The sequence below is a fragment of the Homo sapiens genome, chromosome 1 (genome assembly GCF_000001405.40).
Source record: "Homo sapiens chromosome 1, GRCh38.p14 Primary Assembly".
Classification (NCBI taxonomy): Eukaryota; Metazoa; Chordata; class Mammalia; order Primates; family Hominidae; genus Homo; species Homo sapiens.
The window spans coordinates 6,404,001-6,420,718 of record NC_000001.11 but is presented as its reverse complement, the minus strand read 5'-3'; the positions used below and the strand labels follow the sequence as shown (position 1 = coordinate 6,420,718).

The following is a 16,718-nucleotide window of genomic DNA, read 5'->3' as shown; positions in this document are numbered from 1 at the left end:
AAAACTGTCCTGCCCGCGCGTCACATGAGCCCTGACTGTCTTGCGGGCGAGAACCCGGACCCCTAGCCGGTGGGAATGAAAACGAGCTCCGAGGGCTCCAGGGCTGCCTCTGCTTCTCTAGGATTCCGTTTCCCCACCCAAAGCCTGGAGTGGGGTAACCAAAAGACTCTTAACTAGGCAAGCCGCCGAAGGGTTCTACGGGCTCCTTAGAGCCGGGCGTCCAGCGACTGGGGCCCTTGTCCAGGCTCGGCCTGTTCCCAGCGTCGAGGACTGGAGCAAGTCACGACCTTTCTCCGGAACTCGGATTTCCCGTCCAGCTCAGCCCTTCACCCGATAAAGCAGCTGGGGGTGCAAGTCCCTCCCGCTGCTGTCCCTCATGGGAGCTCCCGTAACCGCTGGGTCCCCTGCTGCGGCCCAGGGCGGGGCTCAGAGAAGACGCTGAACCCGAGCCTGGGGAATGAATGAAGGGCAGCATTGGAGAGGAGGGACCGTAGCTCCAGTCAGGCAAGGCCTGGCCCCACCTGGCCCTCCTGCCCTCGGGGTCACGCAGCGAAGGCCCCCGATGGCGCCTTTACCACTCTCCCGCAGGTGCTCGGGGAAAACTGGGGGCCGCCACCCCGCGGTAGACAGGACGCAAAGGCGGGGAGCGGGATCCCCGGGGGCGTCGCGGTCTCCCCTCCCGGCTCCACCCTGCGCAGGAACAAAGGCAGGAGGTGGGACCAGCGGGCGGCCGGACTCCGCGGGGCGGGGCGGGGCGGGCGAGCCGCTCCCTTAAAGCTCGGCCGCGGGCGGGGCGCGCACTCGTCTGGCACCAGCCCGGGCCGCGCCCGGGACCTCATTTCGGACCTCGGTTTCCCTTTGCGTGGGGCTCGCAGCTGCCACCGCTTCCCCGCGGAGCATGGGGCTGCCTCGCCGGGCAGGGGACGCGGCGGAGCTGCGCAAGGTGGGTACCGGGGACTGGGGGCGGGGCTGGGGACTCCGGGGACCCGTCTAACCACCGCGCCGCCCGTCCGCAGAGCCTGAAGCCGCTGCTGGAGAAGCGCCGGCGCGCGCGCATCAACCAGAGCCTGAGCCAGCTTAAGGGGCTCATCCTGCCGCTGCTGGGCCGGGAGGTGAGCGCGCCCGGGCGGAGGGCAGAGGGTCCTGGGGCGCGGAGCGGGGGCAGGGGGACGGGGTGCTCCTGCGGGAGGAACCCACCAGGGGGTTCCGCGCGGCGCCCGAGGCGGAGCCTGGGTGGGGTGGGCGCGTCGGAGCGGACCCCCAGCAGGCCACGGCGCGCCCCACACCCAGCTCCCGACTAGAGCGAGGGTGCGCACGGTAGCCGGCCAAAGTTCTGTCTTGGTGGTTCTCTGTCGCTCTTCCTCGTGGCCGGGCGCAGAACTCCAACTGCTCGAAGCTAGAGAAGGCAGACGTCCTGGAAATGACCGTGCGCTTCCTGCAGGAGCTGCCTGCGTCCTCATGGCCCACGGCAGCGCCCCGTGAGTGAGCCCTCCCTGCCCTGCCGCGCGCTCTGCACCCCGCACCCGGCACCCTACCCCGCGCCTCACGCGGCTCTCCGCCCGCAGTGCCTTGCGACAGCTACCGCGAGGGCTACAGCGCCTGTGTGGCGCGCCTGGCCCGCGTGCTGCCCGCCTGCCGTGTCCTGGAGCCCGCCGTGAGCGCGCGCCTGCTGGAGCACCTGTGGCGGAGAGCGGCCAGCGCCACCCTGGACGGCGGGCGCGCTGGGGATTCCAGTGGCCCGTCTGCCCCCGCCCCAGCGCCCGCGTCTGCCCCAGAGCCCGCATCCGCTCCGGTGCCCTCGCCGCCCTCGCCTCCCTGCGGCCCTGGCCTCTGGCGGCCGTGGTAGCCCCTCGGCCGATCCACAGACCCTGCCGACTGCTTGGGACCTTGGGGCACTGGACAGGTTGAAGCTCTTGGTGGCGGCTGCTGTTCCCATCATTAGGGGCCAGCCCAGTACCCACACCCAGGCCGGAAGCCGGCTGTTTGTGACTGGCGTGGCAGACTGAAAGCCCTGGGGCTGGGGCTCGGCTCAGGGAATAAAAGGAGCGTCCCTGCTTCACCCCCAACTTGGCTGGAGAAGAAAGGACAAGAGGCAGCAGGGTGAAGAAGAAGCCCCCCATCCCAGCTGGTGGAGATAGTTCTGGAACTGGACCCCGCAGCTGCGTGGGCAGCCGACACACCCACCCCAGCACTGGCACCAGACCAGAGCCAGAGCCAGGACCTGGGCAAAGTGCAGCCGTGCACCCTGCCTGGTCACTGCTCTCCCAGCCCTGCCTGGGCCTACCTCCTGCCCAGCTCTGCTTGGGACCCTCTGGGCATGCAGCAGCAGTAGCCTAAGGGCTCTGGTCACTTCCAGGGCTCTACAGGGCAGCAGAGCAGAGCAAAAGGGTGCATATGCTGGGAGCTGTCACCTCCACTCCTAGGCTTTTCTGCCTAGAGCAGAATTATAGGGGCAGTATACATCCAGGGGTCTGTGCGGTGGGGCTGGGGGATTCCTTAAGTGACTTTGGGAAGGATTTGTTTTCCCGAGCATCAATTTCACACCTGGGCATTGCACCCCAGGCTATGCAGTCTTTCAGTGTGAGGAAGGGGCAGAACAAGAATGAGGCGGCCCCGTGGCCTCAAGGAAGCTTGTGGCTTTGGAGGATCTGACTCCAGCAGAGTCTGTGCCAATGTGGGGTGAGCAGGGCCCCTGCCATGGAGCAGCAGGAATTTGAGGGATGGAGCAGGTTAAAGAATGGGAAACATCTTCACTTGTTTTTTTTTCTTGCAAACTACTCCCTGCTACTCATTGAGACTGGTTACTGGAAGCAACTTGTTAAGATTTTTCTTTCTGGGCGGGCGCGGTGGCTCACGCCTGTAATCCCAGCACTTTGGGAGGCCAAGGCGGGTGGATCACCTGAGGTCAGGAGTTCGAGACCAGCTTAGCCAATATGGTGAAACCCCGTCTCTACTAAAAATACAAAAATTAGCCGGGTGTGGTGGCATGTGCCAGCTACTCGGGAGGCTGAGGCAAGAGAATCACTTGAACCTCGGAGGCTGAAGTTGCAGTGAGCCAAGATTGAGCCATTGCTCTCCAGCCTGGGTGACACAGCAAGACTCTGTCTCAAAAAAAATTTTTTATTTCTTTCTTTTCCATGGAGGCCTAGAGTCCCTGTGAAGGCTAGGAAGGGGCTGCTGATCCCAGGAGTGCCCACGAGGAGTGGGGGGCACTGTTGGCCCATAATCAGGCAAACACCCATCATTTCATGGGGGATTCATGAAATCATAGTCAGGCAAACACCCGTCATTTCATGGCTAAGCATTTGCAGAAGGTGGAGGATTCTCCCCCGAGTCCCCAAATCAGCAGCCTGTGCTAGGGACCAGAGCACCGGGGGCAAGAAGACAGAACCAATGTGGGAGTGGGGATGGTCACTAAATCTGACTGTGCCACACAAGCCCATGATGACCTTGGCACTGGTTTGGGTGGCAGGATATGAAGGAAGCTGTAGGCATTATTGAAAAAATCATTGTTCAGCCAACAGGGTGAGGCTCCCAGCAAGGCCGTGCCATCTTCCCACCTCCCTGTGCCCAGAGGGTTAGACTGTAAGCTCCCGGAGGGCGAGGCTGGGGCTGAGCGTGCCTCCACGTCCCCAAGGCACAGGGTGCACAGTGGGTGCTCACTGAATATAGTGGACTAGTGAGCAGAGGATGAGAGGACTACCCTGTAATGAGCCTTGGACAGTCTGGCATTTGCCTTAACTCCCACTCCCATGCCCTGGGATCACTGTTGGATATTTACTCCATGAGGACAAATACTGGGGAGGTGTGGAGAGGAGGGAGGGCAGGTTCCTCTTACTTTCACCCATTGCTGAGAATGAGCGCCTGTTGGCACTGCCTTTGTGAGCCTCCGGGAGCAGGTAACCTGCGGCCCAAGCCCGCCTAGGACTCCACATCAGGCAGGCACAGGACTGGCCCCTTGTCCTCATAAAAACTCTCAGTACAGCTTAAACTCTGTAAGATCTAACCAGCCAGGAGGACCCTCGCTTCCTCTCCGCCATGCTTGCCACCTCTTGCTTCTGAGAGTCCATCTCAGTTCGCAGTTCTGTGACTTGCATTGACCTGGCTCCAATCAAGCTACAACTCAAGCAGTCACGGGGAGAAGGATTGTAGATGGGCCAGTGACTCACAGGGTCAGGCACTCGGGGGAGCCTGAGTCAGGAGGTCAGTGGGCCCTGGAAGGGAGGGGGCAAGCCTGGGTGGGTAAGGTTCTGGGCCCCAGGCAAGAAGGCAGAGTTTCTCCGCAGGGGTGTGTGCAAGAGCTAGCTGCGCAGAAGGTCTCCGCTGGCTCTCCAAGCCGGGCTTGTGAAATAGGAACGCCAACATCCTCCTCCACAGGCAGTGGCAGGCACCTCCTCCTCAGGTGCCCCCCAAGCCCTATCTGATGGGCAAAGGTGAACGCAGGGCGGTGGGCTTTTCCTGTGCAGAGGGAGACTGATTCAAAGGGTCATTTATGACCTTTCACAAGTCCCACATCCTGCCCAATGGCCAGGTCTTGGGATGCTGTTGCAAGATGGTTCTGTGACTCCATGTGACTGTCTGATGATTGCCCCAGCTGGGGAAAAGGCTCCCATGTCTCTTTCTCATAAAACCAGTGGGCAAGGCCGGGCGCAGTGGCTCACGTCTGTAATGCCAGCACTTCGGGAGACCAAGGTGGGCGGATCACCTGAGGTCAGGAGTTCAAGACCAGCCTGACCAACATGGTGAAACCCCGTCTCTACAAAAATATGGAAATTAGCTGGGCATGACGGCGGGTGCCTGTAACCCCAGCTACTTGGGAGGCTGAGGAGGGATAATCAGTTGAACCCAGGAGGTGGAGGTTGCAGTGAGCCGAGATCGCGCCACTGCACTCCAGCCTGGGTGACAGAGCAAGACTCCATCTCAAAAACAAACAAACAAAAAACTAGCGGGTGAAATGATTCAGTGACCTAAGGACAGCCAGAGCACTAAGCTGCTGGGAACCCATCTGTGCTGAAATGTAGATTTCCCAGGAAACTCAGGCTTGGGACAGGCGCCTACCTGCTCCTCGGGCACCAGGTGATTAGGAGAGGTCGAATCTCATTTCCACGTGAGTGAGGATAAAGACTGGGCTGCCAAGGAGGACTCCTCATAAACATTGACAAATTGCTCTGCCCCGCCTGTGATCCCAGACGACTCCTGCAGTCTGGGATCCTGAGTGTCCTGTGGGTTCATCTCGGATGGGCGCTGCATAAACAGCCTGCAGGGAACGTCTGGGAGAACCAGCTTCACAACAGATATAATAAGGAAGAAGTTTGAAATATTGCAAGAATTGCGAAAGTGTGACACACAGATACAAAGTGGGCACATGCTCGTGGGAAAATGTTGCCAATAGACTTGCTTGACTCTGGAGTTACCCCGAACCTTCAATTTGTTTAAAAAAAAAAAAAGGCAATATCTTGACGTGCAATAAAGTGAACTGCAATAAAATGGGGTGTGCCTGTACTTGTTTTGAGACAGGGTCTTGCTCTGTCTGGAGTGTAGTGGTGCAATAATGGCTCACTACAGCCTTGAGTTCCTGGGCTCAAGCCGTCCTCCCACCTCAGCCTCCTGACTAGCTGGGACTACAGGCGCACGCTGCCACGCCCGGCTAATTTTTTTATTTTTTGTAGAGATGCCCTGAGGTCTTGCTACATTGCCCATGCTGGTCTTGAACTCCTGGGCTCAAGCGATCCTCCCCCACTTCAGCCTCCTAAAATGCTGGAATTACAGGTATGAGCCACCTCGCCCAGCCTGCCTGTACTTTAAAAAAAAATTCCAGGTTTCTAAAGCCATTGTAGAGAGGAGCTAACCCAGCCAATGATGTTGTTTCTGCTAGCTTAACTTCTTGTCTGAGCCTCCTTCGAGTGTGGATGGATCTCTGGGGGCTGAGTGGGAGTGCCTGCGTGTGTGTAGGTGTGCATGTGCGTGTGTTTGTGTGTCCCTGTGTAACCGTGTGGCTGTGGCTGCCCTTCAGAGAGCTGCCCGGGCATGCAGTATCAGGGAGAAGGCAGCCACACACCGAGGCTTCCCAGTGAGTAACTAGTTTCACCTGGGGTTTTCAAAGGCTCTGATGAAGCCCCGGGCGCTTAAAGCAGCTGTAAGGCTCAATAATGGTTTCAGGATCGTGAGAACGGATCTAGAGAACACGCCCCACACACGTGGTGTCTTGTTACCCGAGGTCCATTGGGGGGCAGCAGGGAGCAGGGGCTCGGCAGCTGGTCCAGGACCAGGCGCAGGAATGAGGGGTTCCCTGTCCTGGGGGTGAGGCCTGAAGGAAGAAGATTCCAGGCTGAATACGTGTCCACCGCTGGTTCTGTCGTGGAGGGGGAACCAGAGAGCCCCACATCTTGGTGTTCGTTATGTTAGGATTTTTCACGAACCTCAGGCAGCACAGGACAATGTTAAAGAAGAATGAACCAGGCTGGGCGTGGCAGCTCACGCCTGTAATCCCAGCACTTCGGGAGACTGAGGTGGGTGGATCACGAGGTCAGGAGTTTGAGCCCAGCCTGGCCAATATGGTGAAACCCCATCTCTACTAAAAATACAAAAATTAGCTGGGCGTGGTGGTGCGCGCCTGTAGTCTCAGCTGCTCGGGAGGCTGAGACAGGAGAATCGCTTGAACCCAGGAGGCAGAGGTTGCAGTGAGCTGAGATTATGCCACTGCACTCCAGCCTGGGTGACAGAGCAAGACTCTGTCTCAAAACAAAACAAAACAAAACAAAACAAAACACGAACCTTTGTAGACCTCAAAAATCAGAGGCATTCTGGGCGCGGTGGCTCATGCCTGTAATCCCAGAACTTTGGGAGGCCGAGAGAGGTGGATCACTTGAGGTCAGGAATTTGAGACCAGCCTGGTCAACATGGTGAAATCCCATCTCTACTAAAAATACAAAAATTAGCTGGGCAATGTGGGGGGTGGGTGGTGGCGCATGGTGGCTCACACCTGTAATCCCAGCACTTTGGGAGGTCGAGACAGCCAGATCACTTGAGGCCAGGAGTTTGAGGCCAGCCTGGTCAACATGGCGAAATCCCAGCTGTACCAAAAATACAAAAATTAGCTGGACATGGTGGTGGGTGTCTGTAGTCCCAGCTATTTGGGAGGCTGAGGCAGGAGAATCGCTTGAACCCAGAGGTAGAGGTTGCAGTGAGCCAAGATCACGCCACTACACTCCCGCCTGGGCAACAGAGTGAGACTCTGTCTCACACACAAAAAAAAATCAGAGGCAGATCCAGGTATTGTAGGAACTAAATTTTGAGGCCCTTTGTAGGAGAACTAATCTAAAATTACGAATATAGACTTCTAAGTATGAAAATGAATATTCAGAATGAAAATAAGTCATATTAACTAGTGGTGCTTGGAGATTCACATCTCATCCTTTTGGCCTCTCTTTTCATAGGATGCTTCTGGCTGGCACACCTGGCTTCCCCTCCATGCTCAGAACTGCTTCCTACTCTACATCCAGGCTCCTGAGCAGCCCCCAGCTTAAGCTTCAGCAGCTCCAGGGTAAATCCATCTCCGCCCAGAGCTGACTCCGGATCTGCCCCAGTGACAATAACAAGATAAATGCCTTCCATTCTCTTCGTACTTACAGGATGTAATCCACATATTTACACAGTGTTTCATTTGCGGTAATGTTTGTTTTGTTTCTTGTTCCTTCGTACCTATCTGGGAAGCCTGTGCAATTCAGATGTCCAGGCCCACTTCCAGAAGTTCTCATTCCCTGTGCTTGAGTCAATGGCCGCAGACCATACACCTGAGAGCAAGTTAATCTGCTCTAACAAAGATATCACATCTAAGAATGGTGGTTGGCAGGGGCTGGGGGGTGGGAAGAATGGGGAGTTGGTGCTTCATGGGTACAGAGATTCAGTTTTGCAAGAGGAAAAGAGCTCTGGAGATGGATGCTGCTGATGGCTACACCGCAATGTGAATGTGCATGATGCTTAAATATGGTTAAGATGGGCCGGGCGCGGTGGCTCACGCCTGTAATCCCAGCACTTTGGGAGGCCGAGGCGGGCAGATCACGAGGTCAGGAGATCGAGACCATCTTGGCTAACACGGTGAAACCCCATCTCTACTATAAATACAAAAAATTAGCCGGGCGTGGGGGCGGGCACCTGTGGTCCCAGCTACTCGGGAGGCTGAGGCAGGAGAATGGCATGAACCTGGGAGGTGGAGCTTGCAGTGAGCCGAGATCACGCCACTGCACTCCAGGCTGGGCGACAGAGCGAGACTCCGTCTCAAAAAAAAAAAAAAAAAAAAAATGGTTAAGATGGCCAGACGTGGTAGCTCACACCTGTAATCCCAGCACTTTGGGAGGACAAGACAGGAGGATTGCTTGAGCCCAGGAGTTTGAGACTAGCCTATGCAACACAGTGAGACCTCATCTTTACTAAAAATCAAAAAAATTAGCCAGGCATGGTGGCGTGTGCCTATAGTCCCAGCTACTCAGGTGGCTGAGGTGGGAGGATTGCTTGAGCCTGGTAAATCAAGGCTGCAGTGAGCCATAATGACACCACTGCACTCCAGCCTGGACCACAGAGCAAGACCCTATCTCAAAAAAATAAAGGTTAAGATGGTTAATTTTATTTTTTATCTTTTGAGATGGAATTTCGCTCTTGTCACCCAGGCTGGAGTACAATGGCATGATCTCCACTCACTGCAACCTCCACCTCCTGGGTTCAAGAGATTCTCCTGCCTCAGCCTCCTGAGTAGCTGGGATTACAGGCACCCACTATCACACCCGGCTAATTTTTGTATTTTTATTAGAGTTGGGGTTTCACCATATTGGCCAGGCTGGTCTCAAACTCCTGACCTCAGGTGATCCACCCACCTCAGCCTCCCAAAGTGCTGGGATTACAGGTCTGAGGTACCATGCCCGACCAAGATGGTTAATTTTATGTTATGTGTATTTTACTATCAAAATAAAAAACCAAACCCCAAAAGACACTATATCTGCAATGGGGCTACTACTTGGCTGAGTTTGCTCTAGTCCTTTAGGGTCCATGTGGTTTTTGTAGGATCTAAACTAACTAATGCAATGAAGATGTGATGGAACCTTTACGTCTTTAGGAGTGACATCCATTTTTGGCATCCTCTGGGATTCCAGATTGCTCTGATTTACTGTCTTGGGGGCAGGGAGCAGTGTTGAATTTATACGTGACCTTCCCCTCTGTGATAGCTCTCACCACAGGCCAAAGAGTTAATGTGGGGGCTGTGCCAAGTGTCAAGTCTCTATATTCCAATTACACATTCGAGGACCAGAGAAATGGCCACAGTGGCCACTCGCCCAGTGGACCCATTGCAAGCCAGACAAGGCCAGGATTCCTTTCAATCTGGCCACCACCATGTCACCACTCTGAGAGGGACAGATGATGACCTTGGATCTCAGGATCAATGTGAGCTTCAACACTATGTCCAATGGTCCTAGAAATGGGTGTGTATTCCACCCTCCCTATGGTACAATAACCCGATAAATGCTGTAGGCTTCTTTGGGGATAGCCAGGTAAGTCATTCCTGTGTATTTTGCTGGGTCCTTCTCCTGGGGACCCAGCCTTCCTTCCCGGTCTGAAAACTGTTTCAGGTATGGGAGGATCATTACTTTTTATTTGGGCCATTGCCACAGTCTCCTGACCATCCTTTGTCCACTTTAATTGTCCAGTCCATAGAGTGCCCTTGCTGGCCACTCCAGCCCGGGACTTCAAAGCTGCAGGGGGCCATGCGTGGTGGCTCGTGCCTGTAATCCCAGAACTTTGGGAAGCTGAGGCAGGCGGATCACTTGAGGTCAGGAGTTTGAGACCAGCCTGGCCAACAAGGTGAAACCTGTCTCTACTAAAAGTACAAAAAAAAAATTAGCCGGGTACAGTGACTTGCGCCTGTAATCCCAGCTACTTGGGACACTGAGGCAGGAGAATCGCTTGTACCCATGAGGCACAGGTTGCAGTGAGGCAAGATTGCGCCACTACATTCCAGCCTGGGTGACAGAGCGAGACTCCATCTCAAAAACAAAAAACAAACAAGCATAATGATAAAAGGGTCATTTCATCAAGAAGATAAAGACATTTCTATTTTGAAATATATTTTTATGGATATTTTGATACCTGCCGTTTCTTTGTGTTGGGAACATTACAATTCTTCTCTTCTGGCTATTTGGAAATGTGTGTGTGTGTGTTTGTCTGTGTGTTTATTTACTTATTTTAGAAACAGGGTCTGGTTGTGTCAGCCAGGCTGGAGTGCAGTGATGCAATCACAGCTCACTGTAATCTCCAGCTCCTGGGCTCAAGGGACTCTCCTGCCTCTCCCTCCCAAATAGCTAGGACTACAGGTACGTGCCACCATGCTGGGAAAACTTTTTAAAAAAATTTTGGCCGGGCGCAGTGGCTCACGCCTGTAATCCCAGTACTTTGGGTAGCCGAGGCGGGTGGATCACGAGGTCAGGAGATGGAGACCATCCTGGCTAACATGGTGAAACCCCGTCTCTACTAAAAATACAAAAAACTAGCCGGGCATGGTGGCGGGCGCCTGTAGTCCCAGCTACTCAGGAGGCTGAGGCAGGAGAATGGCGTGGACCCGGGAAGCAGAGCTTGCAGTGAACTGAGATCGCACCACTGCACTCCAGCCCGGGCGACAGAGCGAGACTCCATCACAAAAAAAAAAAAAAAAAAAAAAAAAAAAAATTTGTGGAGACAGGGTCTCACTATGCTGGCCAGGCTGGCCTTGAACATCTGGCCTCAAACAATCCTCAGCCTCCCAAAGTGTTGGGATTATAGGAATGAATATATTTTTTATTGATATTTTGACACCTGTCCTTTCTTTGTGTTGGATACATTACAATTTTAAAAATTCCAAATGTGGGCCAGGCAGGTGGCAGTTGCCTGTAATCCCAGCACTTTGAGAGGCTGAGCCAAGAGGATCACTTCAGCCCAAGAGTTTGAGACCAGCCTGGGCAACATGGCGAAACCCTATTTCTACAAAAAATAAAAAAGTTAACTGGGCGTGGTGCCACACACCTATGGTCCCAGCTACTCAGAAGGCTAAGGTGACAGGATGGCTTGAGCCCAGGAAGTTGGGGCTGCAGTGAGCCACGATCAAGCCACTGCCCTCCAGCCTGGGCAAGGTCCCTTCTCAAAAAAAAAAAAAAAAAAATCCAACTGTGTATGCACTTAGTAACAGGGCTTCAAAATATAAGAAGTAAAAACTGGTAACTGAAAGAAATACTCAAATTCACAATTATAGTTGGGGATTTCAACACTCTTCTCAGAGTAATTGATAAAACAGGTATAGAGAAAGCCAGTAAAGGTATAGAAGACTTGAACAACCTTATCAATAAACTCAGTCTAATTGACCATTCTTGAATCTTACACCCAACATCAGCTATTCTATTCACATTCTGAAGGGCTTGTAGAACAGTCACCAAAGGTAGGCCATCTGCTGGGCCATAAAAGAAGTCTCAATAGACTTACAGGAACTGAAATTATACAGTGTATGTTCTTTGACCACACAATATTAAATTAAAAACCAACAACAGAAAGATAGCCAGAAACTGGCGGGGCATGGCCGTAATCCCAACACTTTGGGAAGCCTCAGCGGGTGGATCACTTGAGGTCAGGAATTTGAGACCAGTCTGGCGAAACTGGGTTTCTACTAAAAATACAAAAATTTCAACATGGTGAAACTGGGTTTCTACTAAAAAATACAGAAATTAGCCGGGCATGGTAGCAGGTGCCTGGAATCCCAGCTGCACGGGAGGTTGAGGCAGGAGAATTGCTTGAACCCAGTAGGCAGAGGTTGCAGTGAGCCAAGATCACGCCATTGCACTCCAGCCTGGGTGACAAGAGTGAAACTCTGTCTCAAAAAAATAAAAAATAATAAATAAATACATTTAAAAATAAATACATTAAAAAAAATTAGCTGGGTGTGATGGCACATGCCTGCTATCCCAGCTACTCTGGAGGCTGAGGCAAAAGAATTGCTTTAACCCAGGAGGTGGAGGTTGCAGTGAGCCGAGATCGCACCACTGCACTCCAAGCTGGGCAACAAGAACAAAACTCCATCAAAAAAAAAAAAAAAAAAAAAGAAAGAAAAGAAAGAGAGAAAAAAGGGAGAGAGAGCCAGAAACTCCTCAGATTCTTGGAAATTAAACAATTTTTTTTTTTTTTTGAGACAAAGTTTCGCTCTTGTTGCCCAGGATGGAGTGCAATGGCACCATCTTGGCTCACTGCAACTTCTGCCTCCTGGGTTCAAGCGATTCTCCTGCCTCAGCCTCCAGAGTGTCTGGGATTACAGGTGTGCACCACCACACTCGGCTAATTTTGTATTTTTAGTAGAGATGGGGGTTTCGCCATGTTGGTCTGGCTGGTCTCGAACTCATGACCTCAAGCAATCTGCCCTCCTCAGCCTCCCAGAGTGCTGGGATTACAGGCATGAGCCACCCTGCCTGGCCCGAAATTAACAATGACTTATAAATAACTAATGAGTCAAAGATGAAATCACAAGGTAAACTCGAGAATGTTAAGAACTAAATGGAAATGAAAATACAACAACATAGCAAGATTTATGAGATATAGCTAAAACAATGCTTGTGGGTACATTTAGAGTTTTTTTTTTTTTTTGGAGATAGAGTCTCACTCTGTTACCCAGGCTGGAGTGCAGTGGCACGATCTCGGCTCACTGCAACTTCCGCCTCCCAGGTTCAAGTGATTGTCCTGCCTCAGCCTCCAGAGTAGCTGGGACTACAGGTGCATGCCGCTACGCCCAGCTAATTTTTTGCATTTTAGTAGAGACAGGGTTTCACCATGTTGCCCAGGCTGGTCTCGAACTCCTGAGCTCAGGCAATCCGCCCGTCTCGGCCTCCCAAAATGCTAGGATTACAGGCGTGAGCCACCATGCTGGCCTGCGGGTACATTCAGAGTTTTAAAGGATTATGCTAGAAAAGTAACACCTAGGGTGCATTGGCTCACGCCTGTAATCCTAGCACTTTGGGAGGCCAAGGCGGGCGGATCACCTGAGGTTGGGAATTCCAGACCAGCCTGACCAACATGGAGAAACCCGTCTCTACTAAAAATACGAAATTAGCCAGGCGTGGTGGCACATGCCTCTAATCCCAGCTACTTGGGAGGCTGAGGCAGGAGACTTACTTGAACCCAGGAGGCAGACGTTGTGGTGAGCCAAGATCGTGTCATTGCACTCCAGCCTGGGCAACAAGAGCGAAACTCCGTCTCAAAAAAAAAAAAAGAAAAAAGAAAAGAGAAAAGTAACATCTAAAAGCGATTATTGGCCAGGTGATTGCACCAATGCACTCCAGCCTGGGTGACAGAGCGAGACTGTCTCAAAACAAACAAACAAACAAATAAAACAAAACAAAAGAAAAGAAAAGCAATTATCTGGCCAGGCATGGTGGCTCATGTCTGTAACCCCAGCACTTTGGGAGGGCAAGGTGGGCAGATCACTTGAGGTCAGGAGTTCGAGACCAACTTGGACAACATGACGAAACCCCTGTAATCCAAGTTACTCAGGAGGCTGAGGCAGGAGAATCACTTGAACCCAGGAAGCAGAGGTTGCGGTGAGCTGAGATTGCCCCACTGCACTCCAGCCTGGGTGACAGAGTGAGACTCTGTCTCAAAAAAATGAAAATAAAAAAAGCAATTATCTAAACTTCCAGCTTAAGAAGCTAGAAAAAGATGAGCCAATTAAATCCAAAATGTGTCAAAGGAAGGAAATAAAAAGAACAGAAATCTAGAAAACAGAAAATAGATGAAATACTTGAAACCAAAAGCTGATTTATTTAAATCATCAATAAAATTGATAAACTAAGCTTGACTACTAAAGAAAAAAGAAATGTTGCAAGTTATTAATATTGGGGATGAAAGAGGGGAGTCACTATAGATGCCACAGACATTAAATGAATCATAATTTGGCAGGGTATGGTGGCTCATGCCTGTAACCCAGCACTTTGGGAGGTTGAGGCAAGCAGATCACTTGAGGTCAGGGGTTCGAGACCACCCTGGCCAACATGGTGAAACCCCATGTTCAACAACAAAATACAAAAAATACAAAAATTAGCCAGGCATGATTGCGGGTGCCTGTAATCCCAGCTACTCGGGAGGCTGAGGCAGGAGAATCATTTGAACCTGGGAGGTGGAGGTTGCAGTGAGCCAAGATTGTGCCACTGCACTCCAGCCTGGGCCACTGAGTGAGACTCTGTCTCCAAAAAAGAAAAGAAAGAAGTGCAGGCCAGGTGCAGTGGCTCATGCCTGTAAGCCCAGCACTTTGGGAGGCTGAGGGTGGATCACGAGGTCAGGAGATCGAGACCATCCTAGCTAACATGGTGAAACCCCATCTCTACAAAAAGTACAAAAAATTAGCTGGGCATGATGGCGGGTGCCTGTAGTCCCAGCTCCTCAGGAGGCTAAGGCAGAAGAATGACGTGAACTCAGGAGGCGGAGCTTGCAGTGAGCTGAGATTGCGCCACTGCATTCCAGCCTGGGCGACATAGTGAGACTCCATCTCAAAAAAAAAAAAAAAAAAAAAAAAGAAATGCAAAGATCCTTATATTCATTATTCATGCAATGCAACATTATACAGCAACAAGCATGCACAAATTCCTGCTACCCACTACAGCACTGATGTTGTGGATGGTTATTCCCTTTAGGGAGAAGAGGTCCCCATATTTGGCAGAAAGCAAGAGAAGCACTTCTGGGGTGCTGGTGATGTCTTCCTTGATCTGGGGACGGGTTAATGGGTGCATTCCTTTATGATCATGCATTAAGCCGTACAATTACGATTTGTGCATTTTTTCTGCAACTGCCCTTTATGAATACCCAGATGGTTTCTGTACCATGTGGTATCATAGGTAAGATACTAGCGCCCAGCACAGGGCCTGGTATATATAAGATGCTCAATAAATGCCTGTTTGGCCCTTGAGAATGCTCACTATGAATTAGGTATAATGGTGCTATCTACCAGGCTCTCCCTCTGCACCAGGCCCTGCTCTGATGTGTGCCTGGTAACTCACCTAATCTTTATACAAACTTGACAAGGTAGATACTATTATTGCCCCATTTTCAGATGAGAAAACTGAAGTGCAGAGGGGCCAAGGAACTTACCTAAGGCCACACAGCTAGGAGGTGCATGGAGGTGGGTTTGGACTGTAAGACTCCGGACCCTTTGGTTTATAACATTTTTACTCAACTAGTTAGCCGCCTCATCACCAGTTAGGAAGCCCCTCCAGGTCATTCCCGCTGATGCTGAATCTAACTTGAGTTATTGTCCTGCTGAGGACAGAAGGTAGTTCTGCTCTCTGAGTGATCCTAGGTGTCAAGATGAATGTGTGGCCGTTTCGCCCAAATCTCCCTCATCTGGTGGGCGTTTGGTTGGAAGGCAGTTCTTTCTCTGGGAGCCTGCTCACCAACGGTGAGGAAGCGACTCGGGCACCGTCTTGGGCTCCGGCCTCTGCTGGGTGGGGCTGCGGGCTGGGAGCAGTCGCCTCCAGTGTGTTGGCCACAGTCACACTGGTGCAGAGCTCCCGCTGATTATCTCCTGCACATGAGGGCCCTTTAGCTCTTCACACAGCAATTACTTGATGCATAAAACCAACATCGTTTTTCTTTAAGGCCCTTGAGAAACATACAATTATACCTCAGCTTTTTATTATCATGAGGAAAAATAGAATTACCCTTGACTGTGTGTCTTTTGTCATAATCACGGAGTTCTTGTTAAAAATTTGAGTGGGGGAACGTTTATTGTGATTTGTAGCAAGACCGCCCCAAGAGATGACGCCCAGGTGGGATCCCGGGTGGGGCGCGGGACCCAGCGCTTGGGAATTTGCTCGGCCCCTAGGTGGAGCCAGAGGGCCACAGACCGAGAGACGGAGCGCCTTGCGGCTTACGGGAAGCAACGCGGAGAATTTCACAGGTCATGTCACTTTTATTTATTTATTTATTTATTTATTTATTTATTTATTTATTTATTTATTTGAGACGGAGTCTCGCTCTGTCGCCCAGGCTGGAGTGCAGTGGCGCGATCTCGGCTCACTGCAAGCTCCGCCTCCCGGGTTCACGCCATTCTCCTGCCTCAGCCTCCCCAGTAGCTGGGACTACAGGGGCCTGCCACCACGCCCGGCTAATTTTTTTGTATTATTAGTAGAGACGGGGTTTCACCGTGTTAGCCAAGATGGTCTCGATCTCCTGACCTCGTGATCCGCCCGCCTCGGCCTCCCAAAGTGCTGTGATTACAGGCGTGAGCCACCGCGCCCGGCCAGGTCATGTCACTTAGATCTCCTCCCACTAACCCCGTTAATTTGCAGGCACCGGGGCACGGCTATAATTCTAGTTATAAAGTTTGACCTACTTAAAGAGATGATCTCCAAATGCTGCTTTTGGGAAATGAATGTATGTCTACTCCAAACATAGAGGTGTTTTTCTTCTCCGGGAAATGACCCATTTATTTTTGACCTTCCCTCTTGGATTATGGGTCCCGCTTTCAAATGGGTCGTTTATGAGTTTTAGGTCTCTTTGGAGTGGTTCATTCTGGGGTCAGAGCACTTGACTTTAAAGATCAGGTTAGGCCAGGCACAGTGACTCATGCCTGTAATCCCAGCACTTCGGGAGGCCAAGGCAGGAGGATCACTTGAGTCCAGGACTTCGAGACCAGCCTGGGAAACATACTGAGACCCCGTCTCTAT

At 52.0% G+C, this 16,718-nt stretch overlaps 1 protein-coding gene across 1 annotated transcript, besides 3 other annotated features; it reads left to right on the top strand.

Annotated features, from left to right (window-relative positions):
- On the top strand, window positions 800-5,487 carry HES2 (hes family bHLH transcription factor 2). The gene is made up of 4 exons (NM_019089.5): window positions 800-943; window positions 1,017-1,112; window positions 1,379-1,478; window positions 1,566-5,487. The coding sequence occupies exons 1-4, from the start codon at window positions 899-901 to the stop codon at window positions 1,844-1,846; spliced, it is 522 nt and encodes a 173-aa protein (NP_061962.2). The 5' UTR covers window positions 800-898; the 3' UTR covers window positions 1,847-5,487.
- Window positions 5,625-6,124: an enhancer, noted in NCBI's record as "NANOG-H3K4me1 hESC enhancer chr1:6474655-6475154 (GRCh37/hg19 assembly coordinates)". NCBI's record gives its function as "activates a minimal SCP1, AML or CMV promoter by ChIP-STARR-seq in naive and primed H9 embryonic stem cells {active_cell/tissue: H9 hESC(naive and primed)}" and the evidence as "EXISTENCE:reporter gene assay evidence [ECO:0000049][PMID:30033119]".
- Window positions 5,861-6,100: an enhancer, noted in NCBI's record as "active region_81". NCBI's record gives its function as "activates an Ori minimal core promoter by ATAC-STARR-seq in GM12878 lymphoblastoid cells {active_cell/tissue: GM12878}" and the evidence as "EXISTENCE:reporter gene assay evidence [ECO:0000049][PMID:35858748]".
- Window positions 6,125-6,626: an enhancer, noted in NCBI's record as "NANOG-H3K4me1 hESC enhancer chr1:6474153-6474654 (GRCh37/hg19 assembly coordinates)". NCBI's record gives its function as "activates a minimal SCP1, AML or CMV promoter by ChIP-STARR-seq in naive and primed H9 embryonic stem cells {active_cell/tissue: H9 hESC(naive and primed)}" and the evidence as "EXISTENCE:reporter gene assay evidence [ECO:0000049][PMID:30033119]".

Excerpts from the sequence above, each read along its gene's own strand:
- HES2 (NM_019089.5), top strand. The coding sequence starts at position 899 with ATGGGGCTGCCTCGCCGGGCAGGGGACGCGGCGGAGCTGCGCAAG. Across the intron at positions 1,113-1,378 it reads TGCCGCTGCTGGGCCGGGAG|AACTCCAACTGCTCGAAGCT; the intron begins GTGAGCGCGCCC and ends GGCCGGGCGCAG. Across the intron at positions 1,479-1,565 it reads ATGGCCCACGGCAGCGCCCC|TGCCTTGCGACAGCTACCGC; the intron begins GTGAGTGAGCCC and ends CTCCGCCCGCAG.